Source organism: Homo sapiens, chromosome 22, assembly GCF_000001405.40.
Source record: "Homo sapiens chromosome 22, GRCh38.p14 Primary Assembly".
NCBI classification, from domain to species: domain Eukaryota; kingdom Metazoa; phylum Chordata; class Mammalia; order Primates; family Hominidae; genus Homo; species Homo sapiens.
This window is the reverse complement of record NC_000022.11, coordinates 17,435,561-17,461,132: the sequence shown is the minus strand read 5'-3', so window position 1 is coordinate 17,461,132 and position 25,572 is coordinate 17,435,561. Positions and strand designations below refer to the sequence as shown.

The 25,572-nt window shown below is 42.1% G+C and overlaps 1 protein-coding gene across 10 annotated transcripts in view, besides 2 other annotated features; it reads right to left on the bottom strand.

Annotated features, from left to right (window-relative positions):
* The window catches only part of CECR2 (CECR2 histone acetyl-lysine reader), a 198,203-nt gene that overhangs the window by 97,019 nt on the left and 75,612 nt on the right, over positions 1 to 25,572 (bottom strand). The gene's annotated exons all lie outside the window — the stretch shown is intronic.
* Positions 945 to 1,145: a silencer, noted in NCBI's record as "peak4449 fragment used in MPRA reporter construct". NCBI's record gives its function as "represses an SCP1 promoter by STARR-seq MPRAs in K562 erythroleukemia cells {active_cell/tissue: K562}" and the evidence as "EXISTENCE:reporter gene assay evidence [ECO:0000049][PMID:32103011]".
* Positions 25,007 to 25,567: an enhancer, noted in NCBI's record as "H3K4me1 hESC enhancer chr22:17914611-17915170 (GRCh37/hg19 assembly coordinates)". NCBI's record gives its function as "activates a minimal SCP1, AML or CMV promoter by ChIP-STARR-seq in primed H9 embryonic stem cells {active_cell/tissue: H9 hESC(primed)}" and the evidence as "EXISTENCE:reporter gene assay evidence [ECO:0000049][PMID:30033119]".

The following is a 25,572-nucleotide window of genomic DNA, read 5'->3' as shown; positions in this document are numbered from 1 at the left end:
TAAGAGCTGCTACAGCTGCTGGCAGAGCAGCACGACCGGGGAAACCCATCGCGGTAATGGGTGATTCCCTGATGCTGCGAATTAGGGAAGCAACCACAGGATTGACAGGTCTACAAAGAGACACACAGCACCCCCAAACAGGTCTCCAGGATGGAACTAAAGGCCAGCTAAGACTAAGCCAAACTTGGTTAGTTTTTGTGGGGATGAAACACTGCTGCTAACCCCAGAAGAGACCTAGAAAGGATGAAGTCCTAGGCAAGAAAATAAAGATTTGATATAAACATAAGAGATTTCCTTCCCCTACACCCCAAAAATGAAGTTTCACTTTGTGGGAGAGAAAGCTGTGATGTGAAAAGATAGGCTGCAGCTGTGTAGATAGTGTTTATTAATGTGATTCAACGACTGGGACATAAGGATACCGGGGATGACAGGCACTGGCTAGAGGCAGAGACTCTCCATACAATCTAAGACTTGTCAACCTGAAGGTCTGAACTAAAATGAGAGGGGAAGAGAAAACTGATGGGGCAAGAAACTGAAGCCCCAGAATCAAGACACCTGGGTCACTGGGGAGTACAGGAATCACATGTGAATAACCTTCAATCCCTCTAAAGAATCCAAATCGAGGCTGGGCGCGGTGGCTCACGCCTGCAATCCCTGCACTTTGGGAGGCCGAGACGGGCGGATCACCTGAGGTCAGGAGTTAGTGACCAGCCTGGCCAACATGGCGAAATCCTGTCTCTACTGAAAATAGAAAACTTAGCCGGGCATGGTGGCACGCACCTGTAATCCCAGCTAGTCGGGAGGCTGAGGCGGGAGAATTGCTTGAACCCAGGAGACAGAGGTTGTAGTGAACCAAGATCATGCCATTGTCCTCCATTCTGGGTGACAGAGCAAAACTCTGTCTCAGAAAATTAAATCTAAATTTTTTCCAAAGAAGAAACCTCAGAGAAGACTTCAAAGTTGCAAGTGTATACAGAGAGGTGTCATAGGTGAGGGGCTATCAAAGACACCAAACTGCCTTCTGGGCTGGAAGAGGAAGTTATAAAAATAAAGAAGTCCAGGCATGGTTACACGAATATGTAGTCCCAACTACTCAGAAAGCTGGAGAAAGGAAGAGGAAGAGAAGAAATAGATCAATGGAGTAGAATAAATACCCTGAGAAACACCCGCACAGCACATACTAAGCTGCTACTGGTATAAATACATGTGGCCCTTCATAAACCCAGCTTACAAAGTTACATGCTCAGCTTAAGGAGTTAAAAGGATAAGAGGCTTCTGAAGAATTTGTTTCAAGACAGTTGCTTTAGGTTGCATATTTGGAAAACCCATGTGAAAAGCCAGGTTTCCTGTGTTGAAGATTTTCAAAGAGTGAAGGATGCACAACAGACTTCCATCACAAAGAAGTTCAGGAGTTTGCAAAGTGGCTACAAAGAAGCAACTATAATAATTTTGGCATGTGGCTTTCATTGTTCTCTTTTTCTATTTCTCTGTATTTTTGGTAGTATGAAATTGCATCTTTGGGCAGGTGCTGTGGCTCACACCTGTAATCCCAACACTTTGTGAGGCCGACGCCGGGGGAGTCCCTTGAACTCAGGAGTTCAAGACCAGCCTGGGCAATGTGGTGAAACTCTGTCTTTACAAAAACCAAAAACAAAAAAAAACACACACAAAAAATTGGCTGGGCGTTGTGGCGCTCAACCGTAGTCCCAGCTACTCGGGTGGCTGAGATGGGAGGATAGCTTGAACCCGGGAAGTTGCAGAGGCAGTGAGCTGTGGTCATGCCACTATGCTCTAGGCTGGGACACAGGGCTGGGATGCAGGGCCGGGCAGGGCAAAGGAAAAGAGGAAGAAAGAAAGAAACTGCATCTTTGCTCTGGATCTTTTTTCTAAAATATAAGCCCTAGAATGACCCTGGGGGTCCTTAGGCCCTGAGTATATCACCCTGCAGGTTCTTACTGTAACTGGAATATGCAACGGACAACTAAAATCAATCCTTTGGAATCTAGGCTTCCTTGGTCTGTCCTTGAAATACTTTTGTGTAACTCAATAATCAGAAGGGAGAGAAGTGCTTAGGGTAAGAAGGGATGATTCGCTTTTACTTTTTCCAAGTATAAGTTGCTTTCTTCTCAAACTGATGTAGACAGTAATTCATAATGACTCATTTTCACAAAGCTATAGGTCACTATTATTTAAATGTGCTAACTTCACAATTTTTAAAGCTCCTGAAGTGAGATTTTTTTGCTCCTTTTAAAGGTATTTTAAAACTAAGTACCTAGACTTAGGTTAGACACACAGAGTAATACAAACAGTAAACTCAAGAAACCTGCTCCTTCATAACAAAAAAAGTCAGCAAAGTACTCTCTGTTTTTAAATCAGTGCTTTCCAAGAATATTTGGTAATAATAACCCTGTAGCTTTAATTCTTCCTTGCATGATCCATATGTACCTAAGTGTTTTCTGTTAGATTTTACTATTCATTCTGTTTTAAAAAATAACACTTTTTACTTGGAAATAATTATAGGTTATATAAACACTGTATACGGAAATCCCATGTGATCTTCATCAGAATTTCCCCAATGGTAACATCTTACATAACTATAATATTAAAAAGAAAAAAAAAACTCACAATGGCACCATTTTACCCACCGTATTAAAACTGCACCAGTTTTACATGCAGTCATGTGTGTGTTATGTGGTTCTATGCTTTTTTTTTTTTTTTGGAGACAGAGACTTGCTCTGTCGCCCAGGTTGTAGTGCATTGGTGCAATCTCAGCTCACTGCAACCTCCAACTCTTGGGTTCAAGCAATTCTCTGCCTTAGCCTCTCAAGCAGGTGGGATTACAGGCGCCCGCCACCACACCTGGCTAATTTTTGTATTTTTAGTAGAGATGGGGTTTCACCATCTTGGCCAGGCTGGTCTGGAACTCCTGATCTCGTGATCCACCCGCCTCAGCCTCCCCAAGTGCTGGGATTACAGGTGTAAGCCACTGCACCCGGCCAGTTCTACGCAGTTTTATCATATGTATTGAGTCATGCAGCCACCCCCACAATTAAGATGAAGAACAGTGCTATCACCACAGGGCTCCCTTGTGTTACTTCTTTATAGCTATGTCCACTCTCCTCTCACCTTATCTCTAATCCTTGGCAACCACTAATCTGTTCTCTGTCTCTATAATGTTATTATTTCAATGATGTTATATGTAAATGAAATAATATCATATATAAGCTTTTAAGATTAGCTTTCTTTCACTCAGCACAATTTCCTTGAAATGTCTCCCAGTTTTTGCATGAATCAATACTTCATCTCTTTTTATTGCTGAGGAGTAGTCTATGGAATGGCTGTACCATGCTTTTGTTAAGCATTCACCAACTGAAGGACATCTGGGTTTTTGCAACTTGAGAGGTACAGCAAATAAAATCGCTATGTGTATTCATCTACAGGTTTTTCCTTTGGCATAAATGCCCCAAAAGTGTAACCGCTGGGTCATATGGTAAATGGATGTTTATACTTAACAAATGTTTACTGAGCACTCATGTGCAAGGCAACCGTCTAGCTGTTGGGGATACAGTGGACAAAATGGAGAAAGCTCCCTGCCCTTGGGGAGCTTATGCCTCAGTGAAGAGTTCCTGACAAGAAATAGGCTATAGCTCAAAAAATTTTACAAAATGATAGAATTTTATTAACGAAAGGTATTATGAATGAATTGCAAAAATATCACACACAAGAAAATAGAATTGAGCTAGATTCCAAGACCCTATTAGTTCAGAAAGGCCTAGACAGAGAGCAAGACAAAACTAGTAAATATAGGCCAGGCGCAGTGGCTCACGCCTGTAATCCCAGTACTTTGGGAGGCCGAGGCGGGTGGATCACCTGAGGTCAGCAGTTCCAGACCAGCCTGACCAACGTGGAGAAACCCCGTCTCTAGTAAAAATACAAAATTAGCCAGGCGTGGTGGCGTATGTCTGTAATTCCAGCTACTCAGGAGGTTGAGACAGGAGAATCGCTTGAACCCGCGGGGGCGGAGGTTGTGATGAACAGAGATAGTGCCACTGCACTCCAGCCTGGGCAACAAGAGCGAGAAATTCTGTCTCAAACAAACAAACTAGTAAATATAAATTCCAATTAAATAACCTGACCAGATAGGGAGCAAATGAGATTAACAAGGATTAGAGACATAAACATGTACTACATGAAACTCTACCCTTATTCTAAATGTGTGAAAACATTTTTGCTCATCTTTCTTTTTAATATGGAAGAGTGCACATGAGGCCCCAGATGTAGAAGAGTAACAATATATCTACAACACAATGACATTTTTGTTACCTGTTTATTCTAAGATCTGAATTTATTTTAGTCCATCTCCATATCGTGATGCTGTAATAAATGAAGGCACTTTTACCCCAAGGCCAAGACAGAACAAGCTGGTTGTCCTTATATAAAACCAGTGCTTGAGGAAGGTTGTTACTCTTTTTTTAAAAAAGGGATGTTTCTGAAAATTTTCTGAGGAAAACAGGAATTTCTCAATTATACTTTGTGATGTACAATATCTACCATATTTTCTGAAACCATAAAAAAATTACAGTTTTAATTGTGGAATAAACAGTTACTACTGTGACCAACTTGAAGGGCTTTTTGCAGATAAAAATGTAAATTGTTTCAAATTACAAATGACAAAATTATTAGGGCACTGAAAAGTAGATCACTTTGAGAAAAACAAAATTGATTCCAACAAATTTAATGTTCTATATTGCCTTTTCACCTCTTAGAAGAATGGCTGTGAGGAATTTGCAAACTAAGAGGAACCAAGATGGCCAGAAAATACGGCATATTATAAAATATAATAAAAGTGTGATTTAAAACTATGATGTTGGGATTAAATAAAATGGAAGAGAATGGAAAATCCAAAAGCAAACTCAACTATACATAACATTTTAGAATATAGTATTTTTATCAATGGTACAACAGTAGACTATTCAGTGTGTTGCAATAATAATAATAATAATAATTGACTAAACATGTAGGGGTGAGGTTTTGATTCTACCATGCATCACAGGGATTAAATAGTTAAATATTTAAAATACAATGGTGAAAACTAGAAGAAAATGTGGGTATCACAACCCACATGATTTTGGATCTGCTGATCCCTCCTCAGTTGAGCCCTGATATGAGACCACAGCCTCAGCTAATACCTTCACTGCAGCTGAGCCACAGAAAGTGTGAGGTCATAAATGTGTGCTGTTTGGGGCTGGGCACCGTGGCTCACACCTATAATCCCAGGCGGATCACCTGAGGTCAGAAGTTCGAGACCAGCCTGACTAACATGGTGAAACCCCGTCTCTACTAAAAATACAAAAATTAGCCGGGCGTGCTGGTGTGCGCCTGTAGTTTCCCGAGGGGAAAGCGAGGCAGGAGAATTGCTTGAACCCAGGAGATGGAGGTTGCAGTGAGCCGAGATTGCGCCACTGCACTCCTGCATGGGCAACAGAGGGGACTCTGTCTTACAAACAAAACAAAACAAAAAACAGTGTGCTGTTTTAAGCTGCCAAGTTGCGTACACCATACACATCAATGGATACCTAATACAAGCCATATGCAAGAAAGACATTATAATGATAGACCATGAACTATAAAGTGGGTCAGGAGAGTAGGGAGGAGAAAAGATGAACGATCAATATGTGTAAATCCTGGGAAGATGAAGATTGCCAGAGACAAGGTTCTAGGATGAGCTGTGTTTAAAAAGTAAAGTAGAGGTTCCTCTTCAAAGACTTTCCTCCCCATCTAATTAGGAGGAATAAATAGTAACTTCTCTTAGAAGCAAAATTTATTCAAACACTTGTGCTAACATTCTTAAATATCTGCTAGCCGTAATAAAGAAATCAATGTACTTTATGTTCTTAGCTCCCACAACTTAGCCTAATTATTTGCCCTGGCATGCTTATACTGGTCCAAGCAAGCATTAGGTCATAGCCTGTTCCTCTTCCTTATTTGAAGGTGTTTTTACCTTTCTCAGCATTCCACAAGTTACTTCCTCCTTCCTTTGTTCTCCTCTGCCTTTGCCTCTTTTTAAAAGTTCTAAGTTGCTAGCCAATCGGGACAAATACAGAATGTGAGGTCCTGTTCCAGCCAATGGAAACCGGACACAGCAGTAGGGTGGACGTGTCAGGTTATAAATGACCCTGTCTCCTTTGTTCGGTGTACTCTCATGGCACAACTGCTGGTGAGTGTACCCTTTCTGCAGAAAGTATAAAAATGGCCTTGCTGAGGAAATTAAATTTATGTTCAAGTGCTATTTCTTTATGGCACCAGGAAACAAGCATTTCAAACAGCTGGAAATGGTCAGATTGGTATGCTTAAAATTAAAACTTTGTGGAATCTGCAGTTTGTAAATAACAAGGCCTAGGCTTTTTCTCTTTGTGTCACATTCATAAGATACTAATATGTATTTGTACAGGCTCATCAAGGGCAACAGACCTGTTTTCTCCCTGCTGACTCAGACCTGCCCAGCTGCAGGGTTTTTTTTTTTTTTTTGAGACGGAGTCTCGCTGTGTCGCCCAGGCTGGAGTGCAGTGGTGCGATCTCAGCTCACTGCAAGCTCCGCCTCCCAGGTTCATGCCATTCTCCTGCCTCAGCTTTCCGAGTAGCTGGGACTACAGGTGCCCGCCACCACACCTGGCTAATTTTTTGTATTTTTGGTAGAGATGGGGTTTCACTGTGTTAGCCAGGATGGTCTTGATCTCCTGACCTCGTGGATCCACCCGCCTCAGCCTCCCAAATCCCTCATACCTGCTGAGATTACAGGTATGAGCCACCACGCCTGGCCAGCTGCAGGTTTTTGTGACAGGGTCTCACTCTGTCATCCAGGCTGGGGTGCAGTGGTGCGATCATGGCTCATTGCAGCCTCAAAATCCTGGACTCAAGAAATCCTCCCACTTCAGCCTCCTGAGTAGCTGGGACTGCAGTCATGGGCCACCACACCTGGCTAATACTAACTAATTTGTATTGAGCTCTTATGTGCTACACACTGTGCTAAACTCTTTACATGCACTGGTCCATTTTACAAATAAGGTAAAAAAAGACAGAGGTGCACTTCTGAGTGTACAGTGCTGGTAAGTGGCAAAGCCAGCACTTGGACAGGCTGACACCTGGCACCTAAGTAACCATTCTTAACACAAACTCTTTATGACCACTCTGACCATTTCCAGCTGTTTGAAATGCTTGTTTCCCGGTGCCATAAAGAAATAGCACTTGAACATAAATTTAATTTCCTCAGCAAGGCCATTTTTATACTTTCTGCAGAAAGGGTACGCTCGTCAGCAGTTCTGCCATGAAGCCCAGACACAACTCTTACATGACCTTCACTCATTTAAAGTTTTCAGGAATGTGAAATTTCAGACAAAACTTATCAAAGTATAAAATTCCTATCAAGGAAAAGTTTCTAAAACCAAAATATAATTCTTGTGCCAGTCATGTTGGTATCATTAATGGGAAGGAGAATTTAGGGTTGATGTATCCTTTTTATATACAGTAATAAACTATTCTAGATGTAAATTAGATCATCATGTACTGGCCAAATTTTAAGGAAACCGACACCCTCATAAATGGTATAAACCCTAAGGTAAGTTGGCAACACTTATTAATTTTTCAAATCCACATACTACTCTAAATACAGTCATACTTTTTTCTTTTTTTTGAGATGGAATTTCGCTCTTGTTGCCCAGGCTGGAGTGCAATGGCGCAATCTCGACTCACCACAACCTCCGCCTCCTGGGTTCAAGCAGTTCTCCTGCCTCAGCTTCCCGAGTAGCTGGGATTACAGGCATACGCCACCGTGTCCAGTTAATTTTTGTATTTTTAGCAGAGACGGGGTTTCTCCATGTTGGTCAGGCTGGTTTTGAACTCCCGACCTCAGGTGATCCACCCGCCTCGGCCTCCCAAAGTTCTGGGACTACGGGCGTAAGTCACTGTGACCGGCCCATACATATTTTTATAGCCTGCACGAAAAGACCTAAATATACAGCCATAGGTAAAATTATGGTATATTCATTCATACAATGTACCAGAATGTGGTCATGAGGTGTGAGGGGAAAAATTCCTATATTTCAATAAATATCCGATAAACATTTGTGTGTCTATTATGTTTCATAAATAGGGTCTTGTCATGGTGGTCAATGAGAAAGACTCCTGCTTCCACAGGGCTTACTGCTAATGAGGAACACGGACATTAAAAAACCAAGGTTTTAAAAAGTGTGTAAGATGTGATGAGTGACCTCTTTCTTTTATAGCTCCTTCCTCCCTCCCTAGTGATCTCACCCTTCTTCAGCGCTTGAAGAACCAGCTATACTCTGAAGGCTCCAAAAATTACCTTCCCTGCTTAGAACTCTAGACTGTATATACCCAGCTTCCTACTCAATGACCAATGCCTAATAAAAATATAAAATTTACTATTTCCAAAACCCGAATACAGATATCACTCACTCCACAAGTATTCCTCCCTTAGTCTTCCCCATCTCGGTCAATGGTACCTGCACCTCCATTCTTTCAGCTACTCAGCTCAAAAGCTTTGGTATCACCTTAACTCTTCTCTCTCACGCCATATCCCAGTCCAGCAAATCCACCTTCAAGAGACTGATTTTCACTACCTCTACCTCCACTACCACATTTTTTCCCCTATTCTCCCTCTTATACTTGATGGTCTATTCTCTCCACACATACCAGAGGGATCCTTTTAAAAAAGACTGCCACTACTCAGAATAAAATTCAGCCTGGAGTGGCAGCTCACGCCTGTAATCCCAGCACTTTGGGAGGCCAAGGCGGGTGGATCACTTGAGGCCAGGAGCTCGAGACCAGCCCTGAAGAACATGGTGAAACCCTGTCTCTACGAAAAATACAAAAATTAGTCTGGCGTGGTGGCTCACACGTGTAATCCCAGCTATTCCAGAGGCTGAGACAGGAGAATCACTTGAACCCAGGAGGTGGAGGTTGCAGTGAGCAGAGATTGTGCCACTGCACTCCAGGCTGGGCGAAAGAGCCAGACCCTGTCTCAAAAATAAATAAATAAAAATAACATTCAAACTTCTATCATAGCTTGGAAGGTCCTAAGCGATCTGACGTCCCACAACTTAGGGTACTAATTCCTACTATTTCCCTTGACTTACATCAGGCCCACTGAACTTCCTGTCAGTCCACTAACAGGCCTCAAGTCCTTCACGTTTGTTTTGTCAAGCTAAAACTCCCATTATTTTGAGACAGTTGTATGATTTATCTTACTCTTTTTCTTTGAAGTAAAAAATAGCTATGGAATGCCATGGAGTTCATATACACCAAAGGTAGGAACTCTGGCTCACTGCTATATCCCTAATGGATTTTAATGCAAATAATTTGGGTAATTTGAGTTGTAACTGGTGAAGGATGCTTTGCTGCAATGATATTTAATTTGAGACCTTCAGGATGTGAAGCAGCCAGCCATACACTGGAAAGAACTTTCCAGGCAAAGGAAACCACCGTTGAAAAGCCCTGGGCTCTGGTGCTCGGAGGAACGGAAGAATCCTGTGAGGTTGGAATGGAGCAAGCCCCATGGAACTGAGAAAAGAAAAGAACTCTTATCTGAGGAATGTGAGTCCTTCTAAATTTTCAGGCCCAGAGAGGCACTAAAATGAGATTGCAATCTCGTCCTAGCTTCCCCTTGAGCTATGCATTCATCTCGAAACTGCTTGCCATAGCCACAAGTAGGTATTCATATAAATTAACCTAGTAATGCTACCTTCACCACACAATGTACAACCAATCCCTAATCAGTTATTTTTGTAAGCCAAAAAGAATTCCTGACAAACCACTTTGTATCAGTCCCACTCCCTGTCTCCCTTTTCACCTTTAAAAATCTACCTGTAATGGCTGCCAATTGAAGTGAAGATTCAAGGCAACTTGAGTCTATGCCCCTAGGCTGCCAGCCTCAAGCCTGGCCCACCTGAACTCTCTACTTAAATCAATTTTGTCTCAGCTTCTTTCTTTCAGGTAGATGAAGCTGGCAGGGGGCAAATCACAGAGGTGGATGTGTAAACCATGGCACCAAGTCTGTCCTCTTTGACACGGAGTGGGAACGCTTATAAGCAGGTCAGGCTCTGACACGTTCATTACTCTAGCTGCTGCTAGTGCATGGAATAGAAGGTGCAACGAAAAGCAGAGGGACCAGTGAGTAGAGAACTGTAATAATCCAGGTATGAGATGAGGATGGTCTGGACTAGAGTAGCAGCAGGGATGAGATACAAGATCTGTGCTGACAGCAAAATCAACAGTAAGTGGTAAGGAGCAAGGTGAAAGAAAAGCAGAAAGCTAGGAAGACTAAGGTTTTTGTGTGGGCAAAATTTCAGTTGAAAGATGCCATTTATGATAATGGATAAAACTGGATTAGAGGTTGGGGAAACCAGACTGATGGAGTAATGTACTATTATTAAATAGAAGGAAGTACATCCACACAGATAATGGTTGTATACGCACACATTATTTGTGGAAAGATAGGTTAACCAGGAGATCTTTTCACTGCATAGGTTTTATACTGTTTCAATGTTTTAAGTGAGGTGGGCTCACGCCTGTAATCCCAGCACTTTGGGAGGCCGAGGCAGGAGAATCACGAGGTCAGGAATTTGAAACCAGCCTGGCCAATATAGCAAAAACCTGTTTCTACTAAAAATACAAAAATTAGCCGGGCATGGTGGCATGCACCTATAGCCCCAGCTACTCAGGAGGCTGAGGCAGGAGAATCGCTTGAACACGGGAGGCAGAGGTTGCAGTGAGCCGATGTTGCGCCACTGCACTCCAGCCTGGCGACAGAGTGAGACTCCATCTAAAACAACAACAAAAAGTTAATATATTACTTTTTCCCATTAAAACCTAATTTTAAATGACAACAAATTACTTTTCCTCAAATGAATCTAAACTATTTCCATATATATTCAAAACTTAAGACTGTTCAGATTCCCTGTTAGAAAAGGAGAGGACATTCAGAAGGCTAAAAGGGCAAGTTCAACTACTCCCACTTGCTATTTACTGTTCTCATTCCTTAAACCCAGAATAATCTGTTTATTACCAAACTGCTGCGTTTGGGGATACCATCAGTTTACTCATTCATTTAGCTGGCATGCTGCAGCCTGGACAAGATCCTTGTCCTCAAGGAACCACACCTGATAGGATTGTGGCTACATGTGTGAAAGGAAGCATCACTCAGTGCCCTGTGGGCCTAGACTGGAGTGACTGACATTTCCGGGGGAAAAACTTATCAGACCATTGCAAGTGTCCAGACACTGAAGTACAGAACAGGTCAAAAATGTTAAGAAATAAGAATTGGTTGGGCTGGGCGTGGTGGCTCACGCCTGTAATCCCAGCACTTTGGGAGGCCGAGGCGGGCAGATCACGAGGTCAGGAGATCGAGACCATCCTGACTAACACAGTGAAACCCCGTCGCCACTAAAAATACAAAAAATTAGCCGGGCGTGGTGGCGGGCGCCTGTAGTCCCAGCTACTCGGGAAGCTGAGGCAGGAGAATGGCGTGAACCTGGGAGGCAGAGCTTGCAGTGAGCCAACATCATGCCACTGCACTCCAGCCTGGGCGACAGAGCAAGACTCTGTCTCAAAAAAAAAAAAAAAAAAAAAAAAGAACTGGTTACCAATTAGATGTGCGGAGCTGAAAAAAATGGGAGAACTCCTGAGACCCTGTCTTAGTTAGGTGAATAGTGGTGCCAATTACCAAGACAGTACAGACAGGTGGAACAGCTGGTGTGTGAGTCTGGGTTTTCCCTAAGTGTCCGAGAAACAGACAAACAGGTGACAGCATCCAGTAAGAAGTATAAAGCACGGGAGGCAGAGTTTGTATTCAAGCCACGGTCCTCTGCTACAGTTTCAGAGGTTTTACCACTCTGGGCCGAAAAAAGAACATTATCATTTAAATGGGGGATAAAAGAGGTGGGACGTGGTGGTTCACACCTGTAATTCCAGCACTTTGGGAGGCAGAGGCAGGCAGATCCCTTGAGGTCAGTAGTTCAGGATCAGCTTGGCCAACATGGTGAAACCCCATCTCTACTAAAAATACAAAAATTAGCCGGGCATGGTAGTTGCCGCCTGTGGTCCCAGCTACTCGGGAGGCTGAGGCAAAAGAATCACTTGAATCCAGGAGGCAGAGGCTGCAGTGAGCCAGACCGTGCCACGGTACCTCAGCCTGGGCGACAGAGCGAGACTCCATCTCCAAAAAAAATAAATAAATAATAAATAAATAAAAAAGAGGAATCTGAAAAGGAGAAAGAAGAACAGAAGGCCTGACAGTATTAGGAGGACGGCATCTGGGAATCCAGGATGGAGGGAAGGATCCACTATTACATTTAAGTGCTACAGAGTTCAAGATGAAAGGTGACTGATTTGGCAATAAGGAATCAACACAAAAGACCGTAGACTTAAGCTGGACAAAGGAAAACAGCAACGGATGGGGCCAGAGGATCACTATTTAGGTCCCAAAGTATAAATACACTGCTGATAATGTGGGCTGTCTCTTATGGAAAATCAACCGTGTAGAAAGCAGTGACTTAGGGCTTTATGTAAACAATTTCATTAATCCTCAGCAATACTATGAGATAAATGCAAAAATGGGAATTCATCAGGAAAAACCAAAGGTCACATAACAAATGGAGGCAACTACTGCTAGTTGATGTCAAAGTTATCTTCCATTACATTACTTCTTTCCATGCATCATATACGATAAATTATATTAATTATATTTACAAAAACTTAATGATAAAAGAATTATAACACAACAAAGTTGAAACTAGACTATTTATATCAACTAATCTGCCCTGATTGTTCCTACTAGCCCACCTGTTTAATTTGCTGAAAGTAGTCATATCCAACCAGTTTTTAGTCATGGATGTGTAGTACACACATCTCACATCCTTCTCGTTTGAGCTAATTACATGTGGTAAAAGTATAGTGATTATTATCTGACATGAAAAGGAATTTAAAATACAGACGTTACCGGCAGTCTATTCATCTCCCAGTACCTAAATATCTATTTGTATTTTCTCCGGAAAACTATTTAAAAATAGTGTAAATCCATTCCTTAAAACTCTCTAAAAAATTGTTACCCAACATTATCTCAAAGTATTAAGATGGAAATTGCTCTAATGGACCTGTACCTGTTCTCTATTTGCACTGTCCAACACAGCAGCCACGAGCCACATAGCCACTTAAAAACAAAAACAAACAAACAAAAAAAAAACACTTGAAATGTGGCTACCATGGCTAGAGAACTAATCTTTACATTTTATTTAAGGTAAACTTACACAGCTGCCAGTGGCTAATACATTGGACAACAGGGCTCTGAACAATTGTTCTCAATCCTGGCTGCACACTAAAACTGCCACGGAGAACTTTTTAGATCCTAATGAGTAAACTAAAGCCCCCCACCGCCCCCGACCCCCGGCTTTTCTTTTTTTTTTTTAAGTCTCTGGGCATGGGACTCAGGCATAATATGTGATTTTATTTTATTTATTACTCCTATGTGATTTTATTTTATTAATTACTATTTATGAATGAACTAATGAATGAATGACAAGTTCTTGCTCTGTTGCCCAGGCTGGAGTGCAGTGGTACTGTAAACGCACCAATCAGCACTCTGTGTCTAGCTAAAGGATTGTAAACAGCCGGGCACGGTGGCTCACGCCTGTAATCCCAGCACTTTGGGAGGCCGAGGTGGGTGGATCACGAGGTCAGGATATCGAGACCATCCTGGATAACACGATGAAACCCCGTGTCTACTAAAAAATACAAAAAATTAGCTGGGCGTGGTGGCAGGTGCCTGTAGTCCCAGCTACTCGGGAGGCTGAGGCAGGAGAATGGCGAGAACCCAGGAGGCGGAGCTTGCAGTCCCGTCTACTAAAAAACACAAAAAATTAGCCGGGCATGGTGGCCAGCACCTGTAGTCCCAGCTACTCGGGAGGCTGAGGCAGGAGAATGGCGTGAACCCGGGAGGCGGAGCTTACAGTGAGCAGAGATCCCGTCACTGCACTCCAGCCTGGGCAAGACAGCGAGACTCTGTCTCAAAAAAAAAAAAAAAAAAAGATTGTAAACGCACCACTCAGCACTCTGTAAAAATGCACCAATCGGCACTGTGTCTAGCTAAAGAACTGTAAACACACCAATCAGCACTGTGTAAAAATGCACCAGTGTTCTGTAAAATGGACCAATCAGCGCTCTGTAAAATGGACCAATCAGCAGGATGTGGGCGGGGCCAAATAAGGGAATAAAGCTGGCCACCTCACAGCGGCAACCTGCTCGCATCCCCTTTGTGGAAGCTTTGTTCTTTCGGTCTTCATAATAAATCTTGCTGCTGCTCACTCTTTTGTGTCTGCACCACCTTTTTGTTTTGTTTTGTTTTTGAGACAAAGTCTCGCTCTGTCACCCAGGCTGGAGTGCAGTGGCAGGATCTCAGCTCACTGTAAGCTCCACCTCCCAGGTTCACATCATTCTCCTTCCTAACCTCCTGAGTAGCTGGGACTACAGGCGCCCGCCACCACACCCGGCTAATTTTTTGTATTTTTAGTAGAGACGGGGTTTCACCGTGTTAGCCAGGATGGTCTCGATCCCCTGACCTCGTGATCCGCCCGCCTCGGCCTCCCAAAGTGCTGGGATTACAGGCAAGAGCCACCGCGCCCTGGGGGTCCACACCACCTTTAAGAGCTGTAACACTCACCGCTAAGTTCCGTGGCTTCGTTCTTGATGTCAGTGAGACCAAGAACCCACCGGAAGGAACCAACTCTGGACACAGCACAATCATAGCTAATCATAGCTCCTAGGCTCACTCAATCCTCCTGCCCCAGCCTCCTGAACAGCTGGGACTATAGGCATGTGCCGCAACACCTGACTTGGGATTTTTAAGTGTAGCTAAAATAAAACAACTACTGCTCCAGAACAGTGTTTTTCAGTGTGCACAGAAAGCACCTCCTGAGTTTTTTTTAATGGCTATTTTGATTCATCTAGGTCTGGAGTGAGGTATCTGTAAACAAGCTCCTAGGTGATGCTGGCACCATTGATCCAAGGACTGTGCAGTTCACCCTCCACATCCACAGGGCCCATGCTGGCAGATTCAACCAACCATGAACAGAAAACATTCGGGAATAATACAAATAAAAAACCAACATGGTGTAACAGCTATGCATATAGCATTATAGCATTTACATTGTGTAATCTAGAGATGGTTTAAAGTATACAGCAGTGGCCAGGTGCAGGGTCCCAGCACTTTGGGAGGCTGAGGCAGGAGGATCACTTGAGGTCAGGAGTTCGAGACCAGCCTGGCCAACATGGCAAAACCCCATCTCTACTAAAAATACAAAAATTAGCCAGGCATGGTGGTGCCCGCCTGTAATCCTAGCTACTCAGGAGGCTGAGACAGGAGAACTGCCCGAACCTGGGAGGCAGAGGTTGCAGTCAGCCAAGATTGCAGTCAGCCAAGATTGCACCACTGCACTCCAGCCTGGGCGACAGGGTGAGCCTCTGCCTCAAATAATAATAATAATAATAATAATAATAATAATAATAATAATAATAATAAAGTATAGAGCAGAATGTGCATAGGTTATATGTAAATACTATACCATTTTATATAAGGAAATTGAGCATCCACGAATTTTGGTATCCACAGGGGTCCTGAAATCAATCCCCCATGGAAACTTAGAGATGACTGCACTTTGAACAGCAAGGCTCTTGAACCAATTAAACTGTTATGGCATCCAATTCATGAGTTCATTTATTATTTTCTAGAGGCAGGGTCTCGCTCTGTCACCTAGACTGGTCTCCTGGCCTCAAGCAATCCTCTGACCTCAGCCTCCCAAAGTGCTGAGGTTACACGCAATGAGCTACCACACCTGGCTGCATCAAATTCTTCTCAAGGAAATGAAAACCTATAGATCTTAGGTCATAAAGTATAATGCTTCCCTTACATACAACAATTAGACTTATAACTTAATATGAGGTATATGAATAGTCTAACAAATCCAAATTGTGAATATGTACTATAGTATTCAAAAGCATTTAAGGATATAAAAGTAGCAAAATAAAGAGAAAAATAAAATTATAGCTGTTTGAGAAGTCAAAGATCAAATCAGTTCTTCAAAGAGAAATCAGCACATTATTTTTCATAGTAAGGATACTTGGTTTTTTTGTGGAATATTCTTTTTGGTTTAGCGATCAGATTATTATCTGTATCACCTTCCTGGAAAAGTACTGCTACTATCCTGATGTAATTAACACAGTAAACCCAACGGTGCTCCTACTGAAAGCTTTTACTAACCCTTTGATTTTGAGTAGAAGAAAAATATTTACTTCTGTTTAAGCCTTAGCTTGCCCTGACTAGTTCTTTCAGGATTAGTTCTAGGCTGGGTTCAGTTTGGTGTGAAAAGGACGCTATTGCAATTTCTCATTTTGTATGACTTCTCCCATGAGAAATCTTGATGGTGGTAGTTCAAGTTTTTTTTTTTTAGGTGGAGTCTCACTTTGTCGCCCAGGCTAGAGTGCAGTGGCATGATCTCACTGCAACCTCCTCCCGGGTTCAAGCGATTCTCGTGCCTCAGTCTCCCGAGTAGCTGGGACTACAGGTGTGCACCACCACGTCGCCTAATATTGTGTATCTTTAGTAGAAATGGGGTTTTGCCATGTTAGCCAGGCTGGTCTCGGACTCCTGACCTTAACTGATCTGCCCGTCTTGGTCTCCCAAAGTGCTGGGATTACAGGCATGAGCCACTGCACCTGGCCAAGGCTATTTTTAATTACTCCTTACCAGCCTGACAACCTAAAAGAGTTGCTTATTCATATGTCACCTGGTGCTTCAGATGCCAGCTGAGGAATTAACACGAACTGTATTAGCCAGCAAACGCTTCACTGTCTGCAATCAACTATGGAAGTATACTGTGAAAAGAAACCACCAGGGCCTGAAAGAGAGGGTGACAAGATGACTGAGCTGTACTAAGCTCCAGGGGAGACCACAGACCGACTAACCAGAGGCCGGGTGCACTGCCAGTCCGACCAGCCAAGTGCGTATGTGTGCCTGCACATGCAAATACCTGGGAGGAAGGGTGAAGCCTAGAGAGTTTAATTAATGTTTTAGTGGACCAAAAAAGGTGGTGAACTATCTAAACAACCTTGCCTTTAGTCATCTCATTCTGCTTGTTTACGGTACGGCTAAATTACTTTTGTTCTCTTCCGTCCTACATTTCAAAATGTTTTCCCAGTCTGAATCTCCGTGCCTCTATCAACTTTTATGTCTCCCCTCAGCTTGTCAGGCTGATCTTAAGAGCTGACACCCCTCAATGCCTCCTGGAATCTGGTAAGTAACCTAAAAAGATAAAGTAGGCTAAACCAGGAAGCAGATTACGAGGAGTGGGGAGTCACCCGGAAGTCGCTCTAAAGACAACAGTGGTGCACAGAACAGGCGATGTGAAGGTGCGGGGTGCTGCGGCAGAGAAAGGCCCGTCCTCGCTGCCTACTTCAGACAACTGAAGCTGCTAAGCCGGAGTCAATTTTAAGCAGTAACTTTTTTTCCATCTCTTCTTCTGGGTCAGAATTAGAGATGAGTAAACTCCTGGGACTGAATATGATCTTGTCTCCTCCCTGCTGGTGCCTTTCCACCATCTGCCCTTGGCTCCCAGGGAGTCTCTAAGACTCCTGCTGCTTAAAGGGATTCTGCCCTTTTTTCCTTTCTGAATATTCTAAGATTAATTCCACAGATAATAAAACTATGTAAAATATTATTACAATTACCAACAAGTTACAGCCAAACAGAATTTTAATAGAGAAATCGCCCAGAGCAACATTATTGACTGTTAAAACTAAAAACGGGAAACTTACCTTTAAAGCACATCAGCTCTAACTGGATGCCCAACATTCTACCTGCCTTGCTTTCCTGGGCATTATGGATTTAAGGATTTGTAGAATGGCTGCTGAGAAGTTTCGTTTGTCCTTTAAGAAAACGAGCTAGAGGGCAGGAAGAGACGCTCAGAAGCAAACAGTACAAAGAAACACACCAGGACATACCACTGGCAGACTGGACAGCAAGTAAATGGAGCCTGATGAAAGAATAGAAAAAGGTTCCACTATTCCAATAGAAGAAAGGGTTTTCTTCCAAGATAAAGTTTAAAAAATAAAACAACTGCAAATGCAAAATGCCATTAACACCTATGACTCATTCAGTCATGAAGCAAAAATGTGAATGATTCTAGGGAAGCCTGTGAATTACTACTATCATCTAGTGATTGGCCAGGCGCGGTGGCTCACTCCTGTAATCCCAGCACTTTGGGAGGCCGAGGAGGGTGGATCATGAGGTCAGGAGTTCAAGACCAGCCTGGCCAAGATGGTGAAACCCCGTCTCTACTAAAAATACAAAAATTAGCCAGGCGGTGGTGGCGGGCGCCTGTAATCCCAGCTACTCGGGAGGCTGAGGCAGAGAACTGCTTGAATCCGGGAGGTGGAGGCTGCAGTGAGCTGAGACCGCACCACTGCACTCCAGCCTGGGCGACAGAGTGAGATTCCATCTCAAAAAACACAAAACAAACAAAAAAACCTGTGGTGTGATCAAAGCTCACTGCAAGCCTTGAACTCCTGGGCTCCAGTGATCCTCCTGCCTCGGCCTCCCTAGTAGCTAGGACTACAAGATGTGCATCAACTACGCCCAACTAATTTAAAAATATATATGTATTTGTAGAAATGGGGGTCTCGCTATGTTGCTCAGGCTGCTCCAGAACTCCTAGCCTCAAGCTATCCTCTCCCATCTTGGCCTCCTGAAGTTCTGGGATTATAGGTGTGAGCCACCACACCTGGCCTGATCTGCATTTTTTAATAAGCTTCCCTCACCATGGATTCCCATGAGCTCCAAAGTGAATAGTGTTAAGGGGACCAAATTCTGAATTTCACACGGAACTCTTCTAGTATGACATGCTCTTGTTTTGCGGTTTTTTCTGTCTTTCCCACCTTGAATCTTCTTCTGAATTCAAAATAGGTAAAGCTGTTGATAATGTAAACAGCTTCCCAACTTTGTATAATTTCAAAGAGACCAGAGTTTGATTCTAGTAGAAGATGGTCAATGAAAATGAAGTCAACAGGTCTGCCACCCGCTTCCTGCAGAGAAATATGTTCAGAACATCCAAATCCTTTCCTTGTGAGAGACAAAAATTGTAAGACAGAGTATGGTGTGTGATATCACCTCCCTATGGAACTTTATTTTATACTTCAACATGTTCCATGAAATTCTTACAAGGTGAGTTATACATCTTAATCACATTTCTGTAAATTCTGTTTCATAAAGGACTTTAGCCAAACAATTATTTATCATCTTTCTTAATCTTGTTTCCATGTAAAATTCTTCAAACCAGAAATAATCTATCAAGACTGGAAAAACAATCTATTCATAGATCCAGGACTGAGACATCTAGATAACTTATTATCCTCTGGCAATATCCTCAAAAAAGAAGGATTCATTCATTCATTCAAGTAACGGGGGGTGGGGTCCACAGAGTAAGACACAGGGAAAGCATTTAACCCCTAGTCAATCTCCCCCGGCTACTTTTTAAAAGAAAGCTTTCATCACGTTAGAATAAATGACGCACTATTCTATACAAATCATGGTGAGTGATTTAAAATTACCATACTACAATACAAATATTATTTGCTAAACTAAAATAAAATTGAAGGGCTCTGTGTTAAGATTATCAGCCTAGTACAGTATCACAGCTGTGCGTTCCATCATATTCCTCCTATATCTGGCAGCAGGAAAGATCTATCTAGGGCCATCCCAGATTCCCAACAACAACCAGTATACTTGCTCCCTCAACACGCATCATTTTAATGTGTTAATAGGCCAGGCATGGTGGCTCACGCCTGTAATCCCAGCACTTTTGAGAAGCCAAGGCAGGCGGATCACCTGAGGTCAGGAGTTCGAGACCAGCCTGGCCAACATGGTGAAACCCCATCTCTATTAAAAATATAAAAATTAGCCGGGCGTGGTGGCATGCACCTGTAATCCCAACTACTCTGGAGGCTGTGGCAGGACAATCACTTGAACCCGGGTTGTGGTAAGCTGAGATCACTCCACTGCACTCCAGTCTGGGTGACAGAGTGAGACTCCATCCCGCCCCCTGCCCCCTGCCCCTCCCCCCCAAAAACAGTGTTAATAAGACCTGACAGTCAGCTGAATACCCATGAAATTAGAAATATAATCATCAACAGATACAAGGCACTACACTTTCTTGAACATTTGGTTACTAAAAAAAAGTCCCAGAAAACACAGGGGATGTCTGTAATGATTGTATAATCATCATGTTGAGAAAGGAGTGGAGGGGTAGGGATCAGAGGGTGGTAGTCAAATTTCTGTTTCTAATAAATCTGTTCGGAGACTTGAAATCAAGTTTTTCTTGTTTTCTTACATCACTTTGCTATATAATGCTATACAACCTTCCCTCTCATTACTTCAAGTCAGATATCAGATCAATAAATCAATAAAAGTCCCAGCTTCACTTCAAGAGACAGGGAATAGACAGTGTGGGATATCATAATAAGTGTAAGGACAGACCTGAATTCCACTCAAATTTTAGTTCCTTAGTTACTAGTGAGACCTACAGAGAGTCATTTCTCTGAGGCACTTTGTCTTTTCCATAAAGTTTTTATGCCATAACAGACAGAGAAAGAGTTCCATTTTTCAATCAACAAGGCAAAAAAGAGGCCAAGTAATTGGGAATGTAATAAAGGTGAGCCTATTTTACAACATCGAGTGGGAGCTAGGAAGCCCTCTGACAAATCTTTAAGCTGATGGAGCCTGAATGACTAATGACTATTTTAGTTTTTCCTTTTAAAAAATGATGTGAATAAATACAGATACCCCCCACAACACACACACACACAGTTTTATATAAATTCAAAAAACAATCATACTATTCATTCTGGGGGTTGTTTGTATACAATTTTCTTTCCTTTTTTTACTCCCTACTTCAGTAACTCCCCTCATATACAAACAAGTATACTTTTTTTGTTTTTTTTTTCAATGTAATCATATTCATATATACATACATGCAGACACATGCATCAATGTATGGGCGTAGGCCTTTTCTAATAGACTGATACTACCCATGCTTGCCTGCACATTTTCTATCTTGTGCAAATCTCTCCAAGTCAAGTGGTATAGTGTAGGTCCATTTCATTCTATTAAAAGGTGGGCTAATACTCCACGGTACGCAGGTAACATCCTATTCAGCCACCCCGCTAATGACGGGCTTTCACTCTGTTCTCCATTTTAGGCCACACAGAACCACGCTGCAATGACATTCCTTGTCCATTGCACGGCAGTTGTTTTGTACCCATTGATTAAAATTCCAGGACTGGCATTACTGGAGCAATGAGAGTACATATATTTATGTATTTTAAATTTTAATAGGTACTACCAGATTGTTTTTCAAAAAGGCTGATCAGTCTAATTTTTTTGTTAGTAAAGTATGAGTATTCCTTTTCCTTTCCAATACAGATATTACTTAATAATTTTTGCCAGTCAGATCTTTTCAGATATTTTTTTTTGTCATTAAGATTTATTCTTTTGTGACTTGAAACCTACTCATATCCTTTGTCCATTGTTCCACTGGGCTGTTTGTATATTATAATATTAACCGTCTGTCATCTGCTTTGCAAATACTTTTTTCTTAAATCTGTTGCTTGTCCATGTTTTTTTATGCCTTAGAACAGGAGGTTAGTAAGCTATGGTCTACCACCCATTAGTATAAATAAAGCTTTACTGAAACACAGCCTTCCTTGCCCATTCATTTTTGTAGTAAATTTGGTAACTGGAACAGAAATTATCTGGCACTCAGAGCCTAAAATATTTAATATCTGACCCTTTACAGAAAAAAAATTGCCAATACTAGCTATACGGAACATCCAAAAAAAAAAAAAAGGGAGTGTTTCTTCTCCCATAGAATTCATGTTCCAAAAGGATTTTTATGTGTCTTATTCACTGCTAGAAAAAATATCTAGCAAGTAGTACACATTAATTTTCAGAATTAATGCTAGGTCTTCTTGCTTTTATATATACATACTTTAAAAAAAATGTGTAGAGATGAGGTCTCACTCTGTTGCCCAGGCTGGTCTCTAAGTCCTGGCCTCAAGTGATCCTCCCAACTTGACCTCCCCCAAAGTGTGGAATTCCATGCATGAGCCACCATGTCCAGCCAAACAGTATTAATATAAGAAAAAAAGAAAACAACTTTTTTTTCTTAGCGATTACAATTTTATTAAGTTTCACTGTGAAAAATCAATAAGAAATAACACACTGAAGTTTTTCAGCTGGAAATCATCCCAATAATGACATACCTTATGACAGGGTTGTTCAATCTTTTGGCTTCCCTGGCCCACACTTGAAGAAGAATTGTTTTGGGCCACACATAAAATATGCTAACACTAATGATACCTGATGAGCTTTAAAAAAAATTGCAAAAAAAAAAAATCTCATAATGTTTTAAGAAAGTTTACGAATTTGTGTTGGCCTCATTCAAAGCCGTCCTGGGCTGCAGGCGGCCTGCGGGCAGGTGGGTTGGACAAGCTTGCCTTATGGGAAAACATTTTGGGCTCATTTTGATGTTAAATTGAGTAAGTTGTTTTAAGAGACTCCATATACAGGAACCAAATCACGGTACTAAGGACAATTTACTCTCATTATAAACTACTTGTCAGTCGACAAGTCTCATCAAAGTGATTAAATATTTTCAACCCAAAACATGTGATGAGAAAGGAAAACATTTTCCCCACTAAACTTCTCAATACTATACAACTTTAGGTTCTGGGCTCAGCTTGTCTACAATAAACACAAGATAAGCCCTGTTCAGGTTGAAAGGGACTCATTTTTGAAATGTTCTGTTTGTAACGCATGTCATCTGGGGCATTTTTGTTGTTACTTTGCTTCCAAGCATAACTTTACAATGCATTATGATACTACTGCATGTAATATTCAGCTTGCTAAAGAAATGCATTTTTAAAACCCCAAATATAATGTACAATTCTTTCAACTTTTCTGTTCATTTGGAAGTTTTCATAATAAAATACTGGGAGGAAATATTCCTAGATCACAGAAAAAAATTTTCATTAACATTAAAGTCTCATTTCTATTACTCCACAAAAGAAACTTTGTCCTTTTAAACTATTAAGTTACAGTGAGTAACATCCATCTTTCAAATTCATGGTCAACATTGGTTAACATTCACACTATACATCCTTGAAGTCGAAGGAAATTTTTCCTTTTATCTTTGTAGACACTATGGAAAACCTTCATCACTCCTGCTAAGAAGCAGTGATGCTCACCTTGCATTTTAAAGTCTGACAAACTTTAAAATTTTTTTTAATCCCTATACTATTTAGAAATTTCTATGGTCAACAGTGTGACACCTTGATAAGTCAAAGCATACATAAAAAGAAGTCATAAAAAAGCAGGAACTCCTACTTACAAAGTATGTCTACAGTAATATACTATGAAAAATCTATTTCAGGTCCTCAGTGATGGTATGGATGGGGAGGTACATAATGAAAAAGAAATATCATATGATCAAAAACATGTCGAGGAAGTGTACGTATGTGAGTTCCAATAAGCTGGAATTTAAATAGAAAGGTTGAAGTCACAGCAAGTAGATGAAAGGCGGCCCCTTTAACATTTGCTCCTGGAGTCCAGCAACTCTCAGCAGTTGGCTGGAGACTAAGCTGGCCGATCCTGTGGAGCTTCAACAAAGGGACGAAACAAACTGAGTCCCCAGGGCCCCCCTCCCGACAACGCGTGAAACAACTTGATAAATGATTGCTCTGTCAGGGGATGAGGAGATGGAGACGTCTGGGAGCAGAGGGGGAATGTATCTAATTTAGGAGGCCAAGGGGGAAGGGGAAGACATGGAAGGCAGAACCGCAGACAGGGGCAAGACCATCTAATGGCACTAACACTCGAGCAGAGAACTAGAAACAAACACCAGACAACCCAACAGCATCTCTGAGAGCTGCAGTCATCAGACTGCAGCAAGAGACTTGTCAGAGGCCAGTTCTCCCCAAGTCACTAGGATTTTAAAAGGAAAGTTTTCACCTTCCACAACCCATTCTCCAGCCTCAAGGCCAAGCTTCAGAAAGTGCTGCTCTCATATTACTTCATTCATTTGGGGATGACATGAAATACAAAATCCTTTTCCCCACCCCCAGTTCCTGCCTAAAGATTGCTGATTCAGGCCTGAAAGCCAGAGGCGCAAGAGCCCAAGGCTTAGCTCACTTAAGGAAACATTAATTACCCTGAAACAAAAATAGGAGTTCACATCTGGGGCTCAACACTTACCTTCTCCTCCGCCCCTTTTTCTAGAGTGTGAGCACCCGCTATTTATACAACCTCTTCCTGACTGAGGACTGATACTGGTCCCGCAGGACTTCCCTGTCTGGGGAGAACTTACTGGTGACAAACTCAGTCAGCATTGCACAGGCATTTCAGAAGTAGGAACAGAGGCAGCTCAACTTGAGAAAAAGGTTGTCAGAATTGGAAGTAGTACAAAAGCAGTTTCCCACAGAGTAGCTGGTTAATTCATAAGGGATACTCTGGCAGCTTAAGCATCTGATGAAAGACCATTAAGGAAGTTTACAAGTCAAAGGTGGGAACAAGCAACCCAAGTCTTTCTTCCGTCACTCCAGTTTCTTATTTTAGGAACTAGAGACAGCTAATGTTGTTGCTATAATAGAAGTGCTGTGTTGTATTATTGTGCATAGAACTTTATTTAAATGTTGAATTAAGCTTGGGCTGTAGTTGGCATAATTTAAGCTAACAGCAAATGGTACATCAAGAAACTAAAGGCCGGGTGCAGTGGCTCACACCTGCAATCCCAGCACTTTGGGAAGCCGAGGCGGGCAGATCACGAGATCAGGAGATCAAGACCATCCTGGCTAACACCGTGAAACCCCGTCTCTACTAAAAATATAAAAAATTAACTGAGCGTGGTGACACGCACCTGTAGTCCCAGCCACCCAGGAGGCTGAGGCAGGAGAATCTCTTGAACTCAGGAGGCGGAGGTTGCAGTGAGCTGAGATGGTGCCACTGCACTCCAGCCTGGGTGACAGAGCGAGACAGACAGAGGGAGGGAGGGAGGAAGGGAAAGAAAGAAGGTAAAGAAAAGAAAAGAAAGAAACTAAAGTTTCAAAAAATTTACCTTTGCTTTGCCCAGCACCCTTGGAGGATGACTGATAATTCATAGCTATGACCCCAAATCTAATTTAGTACAGTGTGTTTCAGAACATCTGATGTATTAATTAATTTGGCCAGAGAGACACTGTATAAGGGATGGGATGACTATGAGAAAAAATCACCGTTTCACTGGATTAAGTTGGATGGTCCTGCTCCTGTTTTTTTTTTTTTTTTTTTTTTTTTTAAGAATTAAAAGAGCTCAAGGGAGTCTATTCTAGACTCCCTAGAATGTGTTTGTGGCCTGTCCAGAATTTTCACTGGACCAAACAAAAATAGAACTTGCTAATTCCCCAGACATCTTTCTTGTC